Source organism: Homo sapiens, chromosome 5, assembly GCF_000001405.40.
Source record: "Homo sapiens chromosome 5, GRCh38.p14 Primary Assembly".
NCBI lineage: Eukaryota > Metazoa > Chordata > Mammalia > Primates > Hominidae > Homo > Homo sapiens.
The window spans coordinates 165,003,867-165,021,563 of NC_000005.10; the positions used below are offsets into that span (position 1 = coordinate 165,003,867).

At 34.3% G+C, this 17,697-nt stretch overlaps 1 long non-coding RNA gene across 1 annotated transcript in view; it reads left to right on the forward strand.

The window, feature by feature from the left end:
* The window catches only part of LINC03000 (long intergenic non-protein coding RNA 3000), a 765,030-nt gene that overhangs the window by 707,162 nt on the left and 40,171 nt on the right, over window positions 1-17,697 (forward strand). Inside the window, exon 4 of the long non-coding RNA XR_001742489.2 lies at window positions 3,503-3,546. This is a non-coding gene — a long non-coding RNA (long intergenic non-protein coding RNA 3000). The remainder of the gene's footprint in view (window positions 1-3,502; window positions 3,547-17,697) is intronic.

Genomic DNA, 17,697 nt, shown 5'->3' on the forward strand with positions numbered 1-17,697 from the left:
TCCTCTTTCAGATAACCAATTGTCCTTGCACTATTAATTGAAAACATCTTTATATCCACTGCTGTGCTGTGTTACACTGTCATAGTGAAGGGTCTATATATGTATGAGTCTGTTTCGGGGTATGTTATTTTATAATTTTAGTGTCTTCGGTTATTTCCTAGATTTGGACAACTATGGATAAATTTTCTATGAACACTTTTATTTCAGTCTTTGTGGGGATTTATGATTTTTTCTTTTTCTTGGGTAAATACCTTCCTTAATTTCTAATTTATTCCTAGTATTTCATATATTTGGCACTTTTGTAAATAGTATATTATAGTAATAAGTTTTACTTATTTGGTATTAGTATAGAGAATTTTTTTTAAAAAAATTTTCTTTTAAGCTAAAATTTACACTCATCAAAATTCACCACATTTAATCTACAATCTTATGATGTTGACACATGCATGTGGTTCGTAACCACCAACAAAATCATATGAAACAGTTCTTTGTAGTAAAACTCTTCCTCTAACCCTTACCCTGGAAACCACTGGTCTGTTTTCAGTCCCTTTAACTGTGCCACTTTCGGAAGATAGTACTTGTGGAGTAGTGCCTAAGAAATCTTCACTTAACCCATGGTCACAAAAATTATCTCATATATTTTCTCTTAGAAATTTGTCCTTTTAAATTTTAAGTTCTATAGTTTATTTTGAGTTAATTTTTGTATGTGATGTGAGGTATGCATTTTTTTAATAATATTTTCGGTTTCTTTACGAATGTGAAATAAGCTAGGCACAGAAGGACAAATATACGATCTCACTCATTTCTGGGAACTGGAGAAGCTGATCTCACAGAAGTACAGAGTGAATAGTGATTACTAGAAGATGGGGAGTGGAGGGGAGGCTGTAGAATAAGGGATAGGAGAGATTGGTCAACAGTAGAAAATAATAGTTACATAGGAGGAATAAGGTCTGGTATTCTACTGTACAGTAAGGTGACTACAGTTAACCATATTGTATTGTATATTTCAAGATAACTAGAAGAGAGGATTTTGAATTCCTCTCATTACAAAGAAATTATAGATGTTTGAGGCAATGAATATTATAAATACCCTGATTTGATGATTATATAATATATACAGGTATTGAATATGTATGTGTCAATTAGAAATAAAATAAAACTTTAAAAAAACTTATTATTTCTTTATTGAATAGCCTTGGCATCTTTATTGAAAATCAATGAGCCATTTATGTGAAAATATATTTCTGTTCTGTCTGATTCGAGTTATATTAATTTAATTGAGCTTTTTAAATAAATAGCTTTGGTTTCATTGATTTTCCTCTGTGGCTTTTCTGGTTTTCAGCTTTATAAATTTCTGTACTTATCTTTATTGTTCCCTTTTGGCTGTTTGAGATTAGCTTTCTATTTTTTTTGGTTTTATTTCTTAAGGTGAATGCATAAATAATTGATTTGAAACCTCCCTTATTTTCTGCAAGCATTTAATATTATGAATGTTCTTCTAAGAGATGCTTTGGCTGCATCACACAAATTTTGATATATTGTGGTTGTATTTTTCTTTAATTCAAAATATTTTCTAATTTCCCTTTTGTCTGCTTTTTTGACTCATGGATTATTTACCAGCATGTTGTACTGTGCTCTGTTTAATAGGGACACAGTTATTTGATCTAGTGCAAAAAAAAAAAAATAGAGTGCCTGAACCACAGAGAACAGGATAGTAACTATTATTAATCTGCAGTATTAATCACAAAACCAACTAAAAGCCCTATTTGGCAAATCCCTTGAACCCTGGTACCATAGATTGGAAAGCTATTGCAAGAATTATGTAAATATTAAATTTATAATGCCTAGTAAAAGTCCCTGCAAATTTTAAGTCCTTAAGTGTTTTTATTTTATTTTTTATTTATTTTTTTTTTTGCCATCCCTTTCTCACTGCTTCATTTTGCAATGCCAGCACCATGTATCACATGTTAATACAGGAAGAGAACTTTCTAATATTTTTCTAAAAGTTAATATATTCTTAAATGGTTAATAAAATATAAAACTGTATGCTTTATGGTAACCTCTTTGCACCATTTAAATCACAAAAACAAAATTTAAAGAAGGAAAAGTACTAGCACTAGGTAAAAACATTATATATTTTTCCAAACAGTGTTATAATAGTGTATTTTTTTTTCTTAAAAGACTAGGTTTCTTAGTGTGTTGGCATTTTACAAATCAGTAGGATATTGGTGAATTACAAAATGGAAGTGGGACTCACGTCTATATTTTTTGCTTTTTCTTTCTTCATAGTTAAATGGAAGTACTGTTGAACGCATTTATTCACTCATATTTGGTCAAGATCTTGACAAATTTATTGGTTGCTGGATACTTTTATATCACTACGAAAATTTCTGAGCTTTCTTCAGGACATGGCTTAGTTGGAAACAACTTGATTCTTTCAGGTCTTGCTTTTAAGCACTAATTTTCTTTCCTAGTGAGACAAAATCCTTTGCATTCTAACCTGCAATCCTTGAAATAGGAGGTTTTCTATCCTGGTTGGTGTGAACAGACACTTATCTCAATCATGCTTAAACATCAGCTACTGTTCTTTCAGGTGTTTCTTTTACTGGAGATGGGTAATTTCTTCACAGGCATGCATGATTAATAATCAGCTGTGTACTGAAAGGGGACCTTCTGAAGATTTCTGGAGTTCTGGCTTTGCACATCTCCCTTCTCTCTTTAGTAGTATGCCTTGCAAATTCTAGGCATCTGGGCTTCCTCAAATTTCCAACTCTGTCTGCTCAACTCAGGGAGACGACTGCATCTGACTGAATTTTCTATCCCTGCACCACACCCTAGTAACTTTCTCCAGCTGAGGTAGTCTTAGCGCTTACCTTATTTGTTTCTCTCAGGGATTGCTGCCTTTTATTTTTTTTATTTTATTTTTTTTTGCCAGACTGTTTCTTAAGTGCTCATACCTTTCACTGGATTTTTATAAGAATCAAATCATAAAAATGATTTGTAAACCACAAAATTGTATGTAATCATTAGATTGTTTTACTACTATAAGATAATCAACTGAATCTTAGTAGCTGAGTGCTACAGAATATCTTACATTTTTCACGTAAGCATTATAACATATCTAAAAATGTAATTTAAAATAACGAAACAATGCTGACTACATTATATGATATGAATATATGGGAATTCAAGTTGATCTTAATGGTAAGAAAAATTACTTTGTACTACAAAATCTGCTCTACCACAATCTGAAACTCTGAGGCTCAGTTTCTGTTGCATGTTTTTGTCTCATGAATACCCTAATTATTATCTTCTAGTTATCCTTTATTTATTCTTATTCAGTGAAACATCTCTGTGATGATATCTTCCTACTGTTTTCTCCACTAAAAATTCACCCCGATTGCTGAAAAGAGAGTGCAATGTCTCAATTTTTGCTTACTTGAAGAAAATGGTGCTTTAAATTATGTAAATAACTTTTGGATGTCTTTCTTTTATGTTACAGATATATGAAGTCTGGGGGTAAGACCTGCAGTAATTTCCCTTAAGGTAAGGATGTTTTCATCTTTTCTGTTTCCATTTGTTTAGAGCTACCTATACAAAGCACAATAAAAGGGCCTCTTTTAAGAAAGTTAACCTATTCAAAATTTAAATTATGAGAAACAATCCCACTGTCACTGAGACGAGCTTTCCTAAGACAGATATATCCCCTCTTTAAAAATTTCTTTGGCATCACCTGAAATTATGAAATGCTAAGATTTTGAATAAATGAAAGTTTGTTTTTTCTTCATCTGCGTCATTTTCAGATACCTAATGAGTGTATGCTAATTGATATGTTAGGCTTTGTGTCCCCACCTAAATCTCATCTTGAATTGTAATTCCCATAATCCCCACGTATCAAGGGAGAGACCAGGTGGAGATAATTGAATCACAGGGGCGGTTTCCCCATGTGTTCTCCTGATCGTGAGTGAGTTTTCACGAGATCTGATGGTTTTATAAGTGTTTAGTAGTGCCTCCTGCGTTCATTCTCATTCCTGCCGCCTTGTGAAAAAGGTGCTTTGCTTCCCCTTCGCCTTCCGCCATGATTGTAAGTTTCCTGAGGCCTCCCTATCCATGCTGAACTGTGAGTCAATTAAATCTCTTTCCTTTATAAATTAGCCAGTCTTAGGCAGCAGTATGAAAACAAACTAATACACTAATGAAGAAAAATCAAAGACTAATTTTTATTGCAAAATACTGTAAATTTTATTATGTACTTGCTTAATATTGAGTATCTCATAAGGATAATTCTATCAAAGTCCATGCAGACAATGGGAAGACAAGCATGCAAAGTAGCTTTTCGGTGGCCTTAGTTTACCAGTTACTTAGTAAGACAAGAATATGAGTAGGAAGTGGAGTAAATGTAAGCTACCATGAATCAAAATGTGGTTAGATGGATTGAAAATGAGGCAGAAGACAGTCTCAGGCAAACATCTTTATTAGATTTTATGCCTGAGAATATACTTCTATCATTCAGATTTGTTTATAAGGCCAATGGGAACAAATGATGGAACATGCTGACTACATGGAGCTAAAAGTTAATGCTGAGTGAGGATCAGTTTAGCACATCTAAATCATAAGGTGTGTGTCTATTTAAGGCCAGAGCAAGTGGTTATTCCATGTAGTTAAGCAACGAAGCCTGTTCACGGGTAGGAGGTGAGGCTTTGTTATTATTTTGACCAAGTGGACTGGATTTGGTAAATGATAGCAAACATTAAGTTATTTTAGTATTTGTATAATGGCAGATTATTTTCTTTTCATATTTATTTTTATACATAGCAAATTAAATGTCAAGTCAACCAAGTAAAATGATTGATTTCTCTCTAGAAGATAGAATAGAAATTTTAAACAGCTCTCAAAGCGTTAAACGAAATGTCCAAGGGCTATAAAGGGAGACTCCATGGAAAACTGTATTCAAATTGGTGCAGATTGTCATATCAATGCAGCATATGCACCATTATAACCATGCAGCTCGATACAGCAGGTATGGTACATCTGAGCAGTAACAGGTAAATTGAAAGAAAATAAAAACTTAAATTTGGCACCTCTTTATTTAAATTGGAGAGCTTTTTAATCTTTTTAGAATCCTCTTGATTTTTTTTTCTTAAGATAGATGGGTTAAAATTATGTGACTAGGAGATGAAAATTTCAATCTAAATTATAATTATTTCCTACATCTGTTCTGATACATTTAGAATGGTTTGTGCTTGTAAATTAGGTGTTAATGAAATAAAAGTGTTGTAACCATGTGGAACATAAGAATTGCAATTGACTGAAGAAGATTCTGTAAATTCTCTAAGGAGACTCGACTGCAAAGAAAGCTCTCATGTGCTACATGCTATACACAAAATTATGTCTTTATACACTTAACTGTTAAATTTAAAGTAAAAACCTAAAAATTGCCAAAGGGAAGCATTACTAAGAACTGCTTTTTAAAGACTAGCATTCTACTTTTATTACTTTGTCTTTACTTCGTTTCTGAACCAGTTAGCTGCACGCTGTGTAAAAGACATAATATTTTACAGCCTTCTAGACCCGCTCCATAGGGACACAGGCTCAGAAGTGTGCCAAATCATCTTTAGAAGGTGAGCTGGTAGCGGTGAGGGTCTGCCTTGGTTGCCTATTTTTTTAATGTCCTGATCACACTCTGGATTGTTGTCATGCAATAAATTCTACTTCTGCTAACTAGAGGATATTTCAGTTATATTTTTGTTAAACAAATGCCCAATTTAATACAATTTATATTTAAGTGATATATATTTATGTTAAAGGGATGAAATGAATAAACTTACAGTGATATCATTCCTAAGAAAGCCTTCCAGCACAGTTTGGTATTAGTTTTATTAAATTAAGGTGAATTACTGGAAAGCAGAATGTTAAGAAATATGCGGTTATAATACTGTACAAGGTGCATATAAGTATTATAAAATTGTTTTCATATGTCCCTAGGAACTTAATTCCAATTTGCCTTTTGTTATGGGCAAAATACCTACTAGGTGTTTTGTAGAAATATGTTTAATACTCTGATATGACTTGAAGGTTGCTAAATAATGAATAAATTTGAAAAATAACTTAAAAGAATTTACACCTGACAAAATAAATTATTACCAGATTCAGAGATAATTTGACTAATTATGGCTATACTCAAATTCCAGTATAACACACTAAGATTTATTTAGATGAAACATCAATACAATTTTGAATTATTAGAAATTTGGAATAATCTTACTTGAACTTCACTCCATGTTGTGAGTGTGTATAGCTTTTCAAATAAAAATGTCGTATTTAAGTAGATTAAATGAAATTCATGTATTTTAGGTGAGACATCAGCTAAGAGAAACTTGTAACTAATTCTCATCATGATTGATGAATTATTGTGTAAGTAGTTTTCTCCAGTGGAGGGAAACCTTCTAAATACATTTCATTTTACTGTTGGACTTGTCATTGTTCTCTATGTTCTTATTTATTTTCCTAAATGCTTCGTGTTATGCATTTCTCTTTTTGAAGAAGGCAAACGTATTGTCAAAAATAAGTCTTCAAATGACTCCTTATGTGATTCTTAAACATTTTTATGTATTAATTTTTTCATTATCTTTACTGCTATTGAAAATGGGGAAAAAGACATCTGAATATAATTATTGACTAATAAGTTGGAGATTGATTTGTAGACAAACTACATAAATAATAATATAGGCAACCCTTATGGCAATGTTTGATTATTTGATCATTGTTCTGATATATAGAAACTCAGTTTTGTGATTTCTTCCAAGCCCTTAAGGCTAAATGGTGGGATTTCAAATTATGTTATCCAACCTTAAGGTATTTTCAAAATTATTAATTTCCCAGGTTTGTGTTTTCTTTTTTAGCTCTGCCAGACAAAGACATACTTTTGCCAGTAAAATATATATAAAAATTGATAGCCAGCATAAAGGATATTTAATTACAATATTGTTTCTTTAAATATTGCTAACAAAAATTTTGTATTGAAAAATATAGATAGCTGCAAGTCCTTATTTTCTTGACAACTCTTGATCCTGCAAAACAATAAAAAATGCATTTATTAATTCATTTGAGGGCTCTAAATATGTAGCCTCATGTGCAAATTCCCTTTTACTCAAATGATGAACATTATTTCTCCCCTTTCATGATTTTTTTCCCACAATTTGAGCCTAAAATTGAGGAACTATAATTTAAAAAATTCATCACTCATGAGCAGCTCTCACTCTAAATCTTACAGATCTCATTTCTTTATGATTGTTTAATTTGTGACACATTTTTCCCCAAATAATTTGTTGTTGATGTATTTTCCTAAAAGCAATGAGAGAATAAAAGGCTACAAATTTTGAACCACTGAGATCAACTAATCCCCTTTGGCATTCCTTCTTGTCAATGTTTGTTAACTTGACATATGAATCAGGTTTTGTTAGTTACCTGAGCTATTCTTCCAAATATTACCCTATGGCTAATGTATGAGATTTGAGGTAGTTTTATGTGCAAGCAAATTAATCATTATTTTAATTTGATAAATGACAAAAGCTTTTGCTTTTAAATTGTTTATATTTGAACTTAGAATCAATTTATTTGCTCTAAAAGTTGAAAATGGTTTCAATTGAAAAGATAACTTAAAAATTATAATCAGTACAATCATAACAGATCACATATATGCTTCTCCAAGAAATAACTTGATTCCAAAAAAAGTAAAAGGTCATTCCTATATAGATTCACGGTTTTAATTTTTTCCTATTTTATCATGCTTTCCTTTTATCACACCCTCTCATTGTTTCTTCAAATTCAAAATTTGTAATATTTTTGTTTTGAGACAGAGTCTCACTCTGTTGCCCAGGCTGGAGTTCAGTGGCATGATCTTGGCTCACTGCAACCTCCGCCTCCTGGGTTCAAGTAATTCTCCTGCCTTAGCCTTTGGAGTAGCTGGGAGTACAGGCACACACCACCACGCCTGGCTAATTTAAAGACTTATTGTGGTTTTAAAGTTGATTTGAACAAATGCAGCCTTTATGACTCATTGAAATGTATCACTTCTAGAGACCCATCTGAGATTGATACTCAGAATGTTTACTAATGGTAATAGAAAGTAAAGGTCACCCTAGCAACAACAAAAAAAGCAAAAAAAAAAAAAAAAAAAAAAGAAAAGAAAAACATACCTAAAACCATTACTGAAATACCTTATCTGGTATGCTATGAGTATTCCAAGCATTATTTATGAATGTCTCTTAAAATATATTTATTAGATCAATAATTCACTCTGAAAGCCTCTTGAATGACATTTTTAATTAGTTGTAGCACAATGATGGAACTACTATTTAATCCTTGTTTCACAAGTAAACATTACACAATAATTTAACTGCTGATTTCAAACAAATTATTCAGTATATTTCATGTGATTTTTTTGTAAATAAAATGGAAGTTTTCTTTCTATATTACATCTTTGGAAAAAAATGTGATATACAATATTTAAGAAGCATTGTGTTCTCTATATGTGTTTAATTTTACAGAGGATGAATGATGACTAATGGGCATTAATCAAAATAAGTAAAAATTATGACTACTGAAGCAGAAATTACTAAATTCTCGTAATTCATTTATAATAGTTTTGGGATCTGAAAGGAAACAATCAAAACAATAACATAGAAGAATTGAAAGAAAAGTATTTATCTACACACATTTTTACCTTCCAATTTGAGATGATTCTTCCTACATTTCTTAAATAGCTCCAAAGAAATTGTATGTACCCTAGTAAGTTGGGGCAGTCTTATAAGAGGAATTTCTGTAAACATTTAATCTAACTTTCTCTTTTTTTTCCCCAACATATATTAAACATTTTTCTCTTGTTATCTCTTCCATATGGCTGAGAAATTATGTGTCTTCCATATGGTGGAAAAACGTTTGTGTTCTTGAAGTTGGCTTTCTGTTGTTCTTCCAACCCACTTAAGTATTACAGCATTTCTCTCATCTGTCTTATTTTATTTTTTCAGTTATTTACCTCTTTTTCTGTATATATCTACTGATTTTTTTAAATTAATGCATATAAACACATTACTAAACTCTTGAAAAGTTCTAAAGCCCTCCAAAATACAAACAGGTTATATTACTAATGTTTATGTATTAGACTGATCATTGGTACTAATTAGACTGATAATTGGTACTAATAATCATATTGCCTATGAAACCAGTGTTACAAATATGTTCTCTAGGTTCTATTGCAAATCACTATAATAATACACTGAAATAGTTTCACATTAGAACTTATTTTTTTAAAAAAGTTGACTGTTCCATTTTTTTCCAAGCACTAGATGAGAGGTTCTGATTCATTAAAAAAAATATATATATATATATATATATATACACACACACACACACATACATATATAACACTAAATATTATGTAAGCACTAAAATTCTGGAATTTACATTAAAAATAAGTTAACAAAGTTTTATAAGATTTTAGTGAACTATGAACTTTAACACAAACAATCCTGCCATTTTTCACGTTATGCTGCGCTTCTATCATTAGCTACTCTGGGAGGTTTTCTTACTTTGGGTCTCACTAAGTTATTTGAAAAGTATGAGAAACAAAATTGTAAATTTCAGGCTTTCAATTTGTCTTGAAGTTTACAAAGCGATGTTCCAGGGAGAAGCTGCAACTAGTGTCTGTAGCTTCCCTTTTCAGTTGTACATGGTTTGAAATGTTTGGGAACTCATAATACACATATCCGCAAACGAAGGATCGCTTTGAAAAATAGTCATTTTTGGCTGGGTGTGGTGGCTCACACCTGTGATCCCAGCACTTTGGGAGGCCGAGGTGGGTGGATCACCTGAGGTCAGGAGTTCGAGACCAGCTTGACCAACATGGTGAAACCCCATCTCTACTGAAAATACAAAATTAGCCAGCGTGGTGGTGCATGCTGGTAATCCCAGCTACTTGGGAGGCTGAGGCAGGAGAATCACTTGAACTTGGGAGGCAGAGGTTGCAGTGAGCCAAGATCATGCCATTGCACTCCAGCCTAGGCAACAACAGCGAAACTCCTTCTCAAAAAGAAAAAGAAAAAAAAAAAAGAAAGAAAGAAAAAGAAAAATAGTCATTTTTGCTCTGTTGAAAAAGCATCAATAATTTTTTTCAGTTTATTTCCATTATGAAAGAATGTTGTCAGACATAATGTCCTAAAGTGAAATCAACATGTTTTATTGTGTTTTTTTTTCCTTCTCCAACTTAGCAAAGTAAATTGGCCAACTAGCAATCACATAACCTAAAATTATTCTATTAGCACTGAACTTATGAGTGCTAAGTACACATTTAAATAAAAAGTGTTAGTAATTTTATTCCAGTAATAAGAAATTTATCAATCAAAACAAACTATAGAATCATGTAAGATAATTTTGTCATGTACTCCTATTATTTCAATTTTATAATATTCAATCTTCTGTATTTCTGATACTAGATTTTGGGGTGATATACATTATACATGAAAATATTTTCCTTCAAGCACAAAATAAAAAGAATGTATTTCAAGAAAGCATATCTGGACAATTAGTACCCTGTTTTGTTTTGTTCCGTTTGTATTCACTCTTAGGTAATTTGTTCCCCTTCTAATATTCTTAATACTTCTGAAATTGCTGGGTTGGTAATTGTTAGTGATGGAAGTTTCAGTACTTGTGACAGTCTTTTTTCACATGTTAGATAGCTGCTATGAGCACTGTACTTCTCTTTTCTCATTCTAGGCGTTAGCTCTCTCCCTTGCTCTTTGGTAACGTTTACAACCCTACACTATTGCAACAGTTCTTTGCCCAATGTCCGTCTTCACGTGCAATGTTGGTTACTTTTCTGTTTTTATTCTTGTGTACTTATTGCATTTTTATAACATAAAAATTATCTTAAAAGTAAGTGATTAACAGTAAAGCTAAAATAATGGATATGAATAAATTTACTATAAATTATGAAAAAAATTACTATAAATTATGAAATATTTAATATTTTCAAAATACAATTAAAAAGATAAAGTACAGTGTCTTTAAAATATCTTTACTCATGTAATATTGTCAGATAAATTGTAGTTTTAGAAATATCATGTTGATTATTACAATCAGGAAATAATTTTAAGTACATGACATGAAATAACAACTATGCAATAGATTATACAACTATACTGTCGTATAAGGCATATACAAACTGGAAAGTTGATAACAGTTACATATTTTAGAAGTTTTAAAAGTCTCTTAATGATAAGATTCTGTATTACCTGTTTCAAGTTTTGAAATAGTACTAAATAATTATAAAATCCACTGTTCATTAATTAAAAAGGAACACATGCTATATATGAATGTCTCAGAAAATAAAATTGTTTTCCATGGCTTTATTTATTTATGCTAGTTTCTCTTCTGCTTTTACTCAAAACTGTGGAGTAACTCAGTGCTTATTTCTGGGCCTCTTCTTTTTTTTTTAGCCAAACTCTGTCACTAGATGCCTCATCCAATTTCATGGATTCTAAACATCGTCTATTTGTTACATTGCCAGGCCTGACCTAGCTCCTGAGTTTGATTGAGATTATGTGCCCAACTCAGCCTCTCTACGTGGATGTCATCTTCATCAGTGCATCTTGTCAGTTCTGTCTAAAGCATAGAGGTATCCACTTTGCTCTGTCTTCATTGCCAGCATCCCAGTTTAGGTGAGCACCCTCTTTGTTTTGGCAATAGCCCTTTGACTGATCTGCCTGCTCCCAGAACTCTTGCTTCTTTGCACCTTGGCATTTGCTCTTCTCCTTGAAGGAAAGTTCTTACCCTGGCTCGCCGTTGAATCTCATCCTTCAGATCTTGAACTCCTTCTGGACGACTTCCCAGACCACTTCCCTACTCAAAGTAATTCTTTATTACAACACTCTTCTGTTTCGTCTCCTTTCTTTTTGTCTATAGTACTTACAACTATCAGCAATTACTTTATTTAGTTTTATTTATTTTATATTTTCAGCTTCCTTTACTTAATTAAAAGTTACAGATAGATAAAGTTCTTGTTGATCTACTCTATTTCCAGCACCTAGCAAGATCCTTGGTATATGAAAACTACTTAACTACTTCATGCCTCTTTTGGCAGTATTTATTGCAGTAGTTTTGAAATAGCTTTTAAAGTGTTAAATCATTTCTCTGAATGATTTAACTTGAAAACAGATAAGCTGTTCTGTTCTTATTGAAACAAGGTAGTGGCTAACCAACCTCAATCACATCATTTCTCTGGTCCCCTGCAGAATCCCCATGAGATCCCCACCAGTACTGTTAACTGGTGAAACCATGGTACTCCTCAGACAACCACTGACAACTCCTCTGCTATTACAGTACTATGGCTAAATCCTCGTAGTGCTGGTAGGATAGCATAATAGAAATGCAAAAAACTTAGAGTCAGAAGATTTGGGAGCTATTTACAACTTTACTACTCTAATAGATCCATTTGATTTTTTTTTTTTTTTTTTGAGATGGGAGTCTTGTTCTGTCACCTAGGCTAGAGTGCAATGGCACGATCTTGGCTCACCGCAACCTCCATCTCCTGGGTTCAAGTGATTCTCCTGCCTCAGCCTCCTGAGTAGCTGGGATTACAGGTGCCTGCCACCATGCCCGGCTAATTTTTGTATTTGTAGTAGAGACGGGGTTTTACGGTGTTGGTCAGGTGGGTGCATTTGATTTCTATAGGGCTAATCAAATTTGTAACTAACAGTAATTCATTGAGATGATAACACAAAGCGCTAAGATAATAAATGGAACACCACTTTTTACACAGTAAAATCATCTTTAAATATTACATTCTTTTTCTTTTTTTTTTCTTTCTTTTTTTTTCTTGAGATGGAGTCTTGCTCTGTCACCCAGGTGGGGGTGCAGTGGTTCGAACTCGGCTCTCTGCAACCTCTGCCTCCTGGGTTCAAGTGATTCTCTTGCCTCAGCCTCCAGAGTAGCTGGGATTACAGGCATGAGCCAACGCACCCAGCCAGATTTTTTTTTTCTTTTTGTAAGATGGCATTTTGTATACAGCTGACATCGTCCACTAGTAAATTCATGACATTTCTCCCCAAATCAGTTCCTTTAGTAGTATCTCTTGTCAGTGATAACATTGTTTATCCAATCATCAAATGAGAAACCTTGGAATGACAGTCATTCAGCCTCATCTTTCCTTGTAAATCAAAGGTCCTGAAATTAACTTCTTTAATATATTTTAAACCCATCACTTCTGCCGACACCTCTCTAGTCCATGATAACATTATCTTTCTGTTGAATTAATGTAATAAACTCTTGATTATCTTTCCTAATATACTGTTTTCCCACCCCCTGCCAAGTCTGTGGTCCATACAGCTACTATCTTAACAAAATCTAAATTAAGTGATGTTACTCCCATGCTTAAATCTTTTGTTTCTAATATTTTAATATGCATTGAAGCCACTTGGGAATATTGCTAAAGTGATCTTGGTTTAGCAACTCTGGGATGGAGTCTGAGATTCTATATTTCTCGCAAATTCCCAGATGATGCCAGTGCTATTACTCCATGCATGGTACTTTGAATAGCAAGGAGTAGATGATTCCCAGCTACACTGGAATAAATATTAAAACCTGTCCATGGTCTATAAATTCATACATGATATCCTCCTTGCCTTTAAATATCATATCATCTCTTTCCACTTTCCTTCTCAGTCTCTACATTCTGACCCTTCTTTTGGTGCCGTGAAGGCAGGAAGCTAATTTCTGCTTCAGAGTCTTTGCACAAGTTCTTCCATCTGTTTGGAATACCACACCTCCTACCCAATACTCACCCCTGCCCAGGCAACTTCCACTCATGTTTTAGATGTCTCAGCTTAACTCTCACTTTCATGGAAGCTTTCCTGGAGGCTAAATATGGCTCGGTGCTTTCTCTTTTAGCTTTCATTACATCTCACATTTCCTCCTCATAGCATATATTATAGTTGTGATTAAATAAGTAATTACATTATTGTCAACCTAAATAACAGGAAAAGTCTCTACAAGAAAATGATGTTTATTTGGGAGTAGGCATTGCAATGGGAATATGCATGCCATAGTATAGTATACTATGTGTGTATTCAGGGAAGTAAAGGAAGACAAGACAATTTTTTTTTAAGATTACCTAATTGTTTTGAGATAATTATCCTTGGCTATAAGTATTAATATCAATAAGGGCAATAAGGGTGGTACCAGTACACATTTGAATAGACAGTTAGATTAGCTGATAGATGGGAGAGATCAGCTAATTCCTATAGAAATGGGCTAGTGCTTGGTCTAGAAATAAACTATCTGTAGTTACTAAAAGGGTGATGAGTAATAGGTAGGATAGGATGGGGGCTGGGGAAGCTAGAGGTAAAAGCTGAGTGGAGAACCTATGGAGAGAATGACATCTTGGCCATGCCTGGTTGGCTGCAATGGACTCAATGAAGTTATTTTGATTAAGAAAAGAAAACTGCCATAGCGGAAGAGATCCAAAGAGGCAAGAACAGAGTAAAGGCCTCAATTACCCATGGGCTGAAGAAGTGAAGTTGAGTGAGTTCTAGAAACAAAGTTCAGAGTCAAGGAGAGAATTTGTCTCTAATTCTGGCCTAAGACACAATGAGGCCAAAAGTATAGACTTTAGGTGAGGTAATTATGAAAATTGAAGGGATGGAGATACTCAAGACCACGCATCTGAGATGAAGCCCCAGGACACTGCAGGACTGCAGGAGTTTTAATGACCATACCACAGCTGCTGGCAACGTCTCTGACTCTAATCTTTGTAGTGGAGAACAGTATAATTTGGGCATGACAAGGAGAGAGCAAGATCTGGTGTAGGCTCAACATAGCACACTCCGGTGGTCAGAGCAGAGATGGATATTATATCAGAGCACTCTATTTGCTTCAGTTAACCCTCTTGGATCCTATAACAATCTCAAAGGAGAATATCGTGTGGCATGCTAGGATATGCTGATATCCTGATGAATCTGTGGCACATTTTTGAAATAATGGAAGCTGACCCTTTTCTGCTTTCTGTATTCATAACCATCTTCTAGTGGGCTTTTTTTTTTTTTTTTTAAGTCTACTGGCGCTCTCAAGCTGCCCTAAACTAGTGCTTTTTAAAAATAAGCATGTGAATCGCCTGCAAGGCTTGCTATACTCCAGTTTCTACTCCCCCCAACACTCAGAATTTTGGATTCAATAGGTCTGGATGTGTTACCCACTATGCCAATTGATATGTCCATTAGGTTCGGGCACCTAGGTGTGCTTACTCAGTAAGGTTTCACAGTGGCTCAATAGCCAATTATATATACTTCAATTTGCAGTTTATTGTGAGGCTTTCACACACAATCAATCATGCAATTAATACTCAACACACAGCCAATAATAACAGAGTGCTAATAAACCACAGCAGTGGCTCAAGGGACCAACACACCAATAGATTAATCGAGTGGGTCCAGAAAGCCTTAAGATACTGGTGGTAGTAGGAGGTCACTGTTTCTCCCAAGTAGAAGTTCTAGTGGCAGCTGTCAAGATGAGAGAAGCTCTCGGAGTTCTCCTGGGCAGACCCTCCTAAGGCCTCTCAAAAAAAGGCCTTGTCCTGACTTTTATGATTCTCCCAGATGGGTGTATTTTCATTAACTCAGCCACCTTTCACTTTTGTCAGTTCCTTTCAAGTCTCCCATGGTACACAGCAAAAGCAGGTGTTACTTTCCTAACTCAGTCTATTACTTATATGTTTATCACTTTGAGGGGGTCACTGTGGGCTCAATGCTTCTTGACATGAGTGATTCCATTTTGAGATAGTAGGTTCACAAATTGTTGTGATATATTAAGGTGGGGCTCAGTAATTTGCATTTTTAACAAGTTCCCAATTGATGCTCATGCTGTTGGCCCAGAGCCACACTTTGAGAACAACTGTTTTAAACCTTCAGTCCTACTATTCTATCCAAATTTGTCATCTCTAAGGCCAAAAGCCCATTTAAGTAACAAGAGATGATGCCCCTCATCTGAAACACATACGCTAAAATTGAAGCAATTTTAGGGCATCTCAACTTGGCAAAATATAGTCATCTATTGAAATGTTGTCTACAAATAAGTGAATGACTGATGTACAACAATTTATCTGGCTTCATTCCATTTTTAAATAGTAAGAACTATGTTTAAGTGAGATAAGTCTAATGAGCAGACCCTCAGGAAATGTCATTAAATGAAAAGAGAAATTTCTCAATTGTGAGGAAGGATTTTCCTGGGCAGAATGTTGACATATTTGGCATAACGAAATTATTTGTTTTGTTTTATTTTCCACTGTGGAGTCCTGATAAGTAGGCAAAAACAAGGAAGGGGCCCCAGGTCGGGTAGAACAATTGTTCTGAGAGATGGCTAATCACAAACTACTGGCACAACCTCCTGTTGCCGAATACCTTGTGGCACATGAAGCTCCAGCAGCACAACCTTGACCTCATTCTGTACATAGCCCCTTCAACATGACCCTATAAAACTTCCGGTTAACCCCTGCCTCTTTGCAGACAGCACCTTCCCTGCTGTGCTGCCTGTTGCACTCTCGCAACATATCTCTTTGAGTACAACTGTTTTGGTAAATTCCTTTTACCGCCCACATTGCTGACCTCACCCAGTCCCACCTGCAATACTAACCTCTACTTCTGAATCCACAAATCTCCTAGTTTTCTCTTTTTCCGACTTTACCATTTCATTTATAGCAATTCTTGTTTTTGTTATTTTTATTTTTTTTATTTCAATAGGTTTTTGGGGAACAGGTGGTGTTTGGTTACATAAGTTCTTTAGTGGTGATTTCAGAGATTTCAGTGCACCTATCGCCGAGCAGTGTATACTTTACCCAATGTGCACTCTTTTATTCCTCCTCCCCCTTCTTTCCCAGAGTCCCCAAAGTCCAATGTGTCATTCTTATGCCTGTCCTCATAACGTAGTAGCTCCTACTTATGAGTGAGAACATAAGATGTTTGGTTTTCCATTCCTGAGTGAATTCACTTAGAATCATAGTCTTCCAGTTCCATCCAGGTTGATGTGAATGCCATTATTTCATTTCTTTTTATGGATGAGTAATATTCTATGGTGTGAGTGTGTGTGGGTGTGTGTGTGTGTGTATTACTTTTTTTTATCCATTTGTTGATTGATGGACATTTGGGCTGGTTCTTTATTTTTGCAATTGCAAATTGTGCTTCTATAGACATGTGTGTCCACATATCTTTTTCATATAATGACTTCTTTCCTTCTGGGTAGATACCTAGTAGTGGAATTGCTGGATCAAATGGTAGATCTAGATTTCTTTAAGGAATCTCCACACTGTTTTCCGTAGTGGTTGTACTTATTTTTACATTCCCACCGACAGTGCAAAAGTGTTCCCTTTTCACCACATTCGTGCCAACATCTGTTTTGTTTATTTTTTTGATTATGGCCATTCTGGCAGGGGTGAGATGAAGACAGGTGTTGAAATGGGAATTGTGTGCCTAAAGAAGAGGAAGGAGACTGGTGATACACAAGGGAATTTTGTAAGTTGGAAGCTACCAGTTTCATGTATTTTGATCATCACCCAAAAAATTGCAATATCAGTTAAGGTTTGTCTTTCATTGTCTCCCCAGGTGTGAGCATATTCCATTGTTTAAAAGCATCTGTGAAAGAAGCATTCATTTT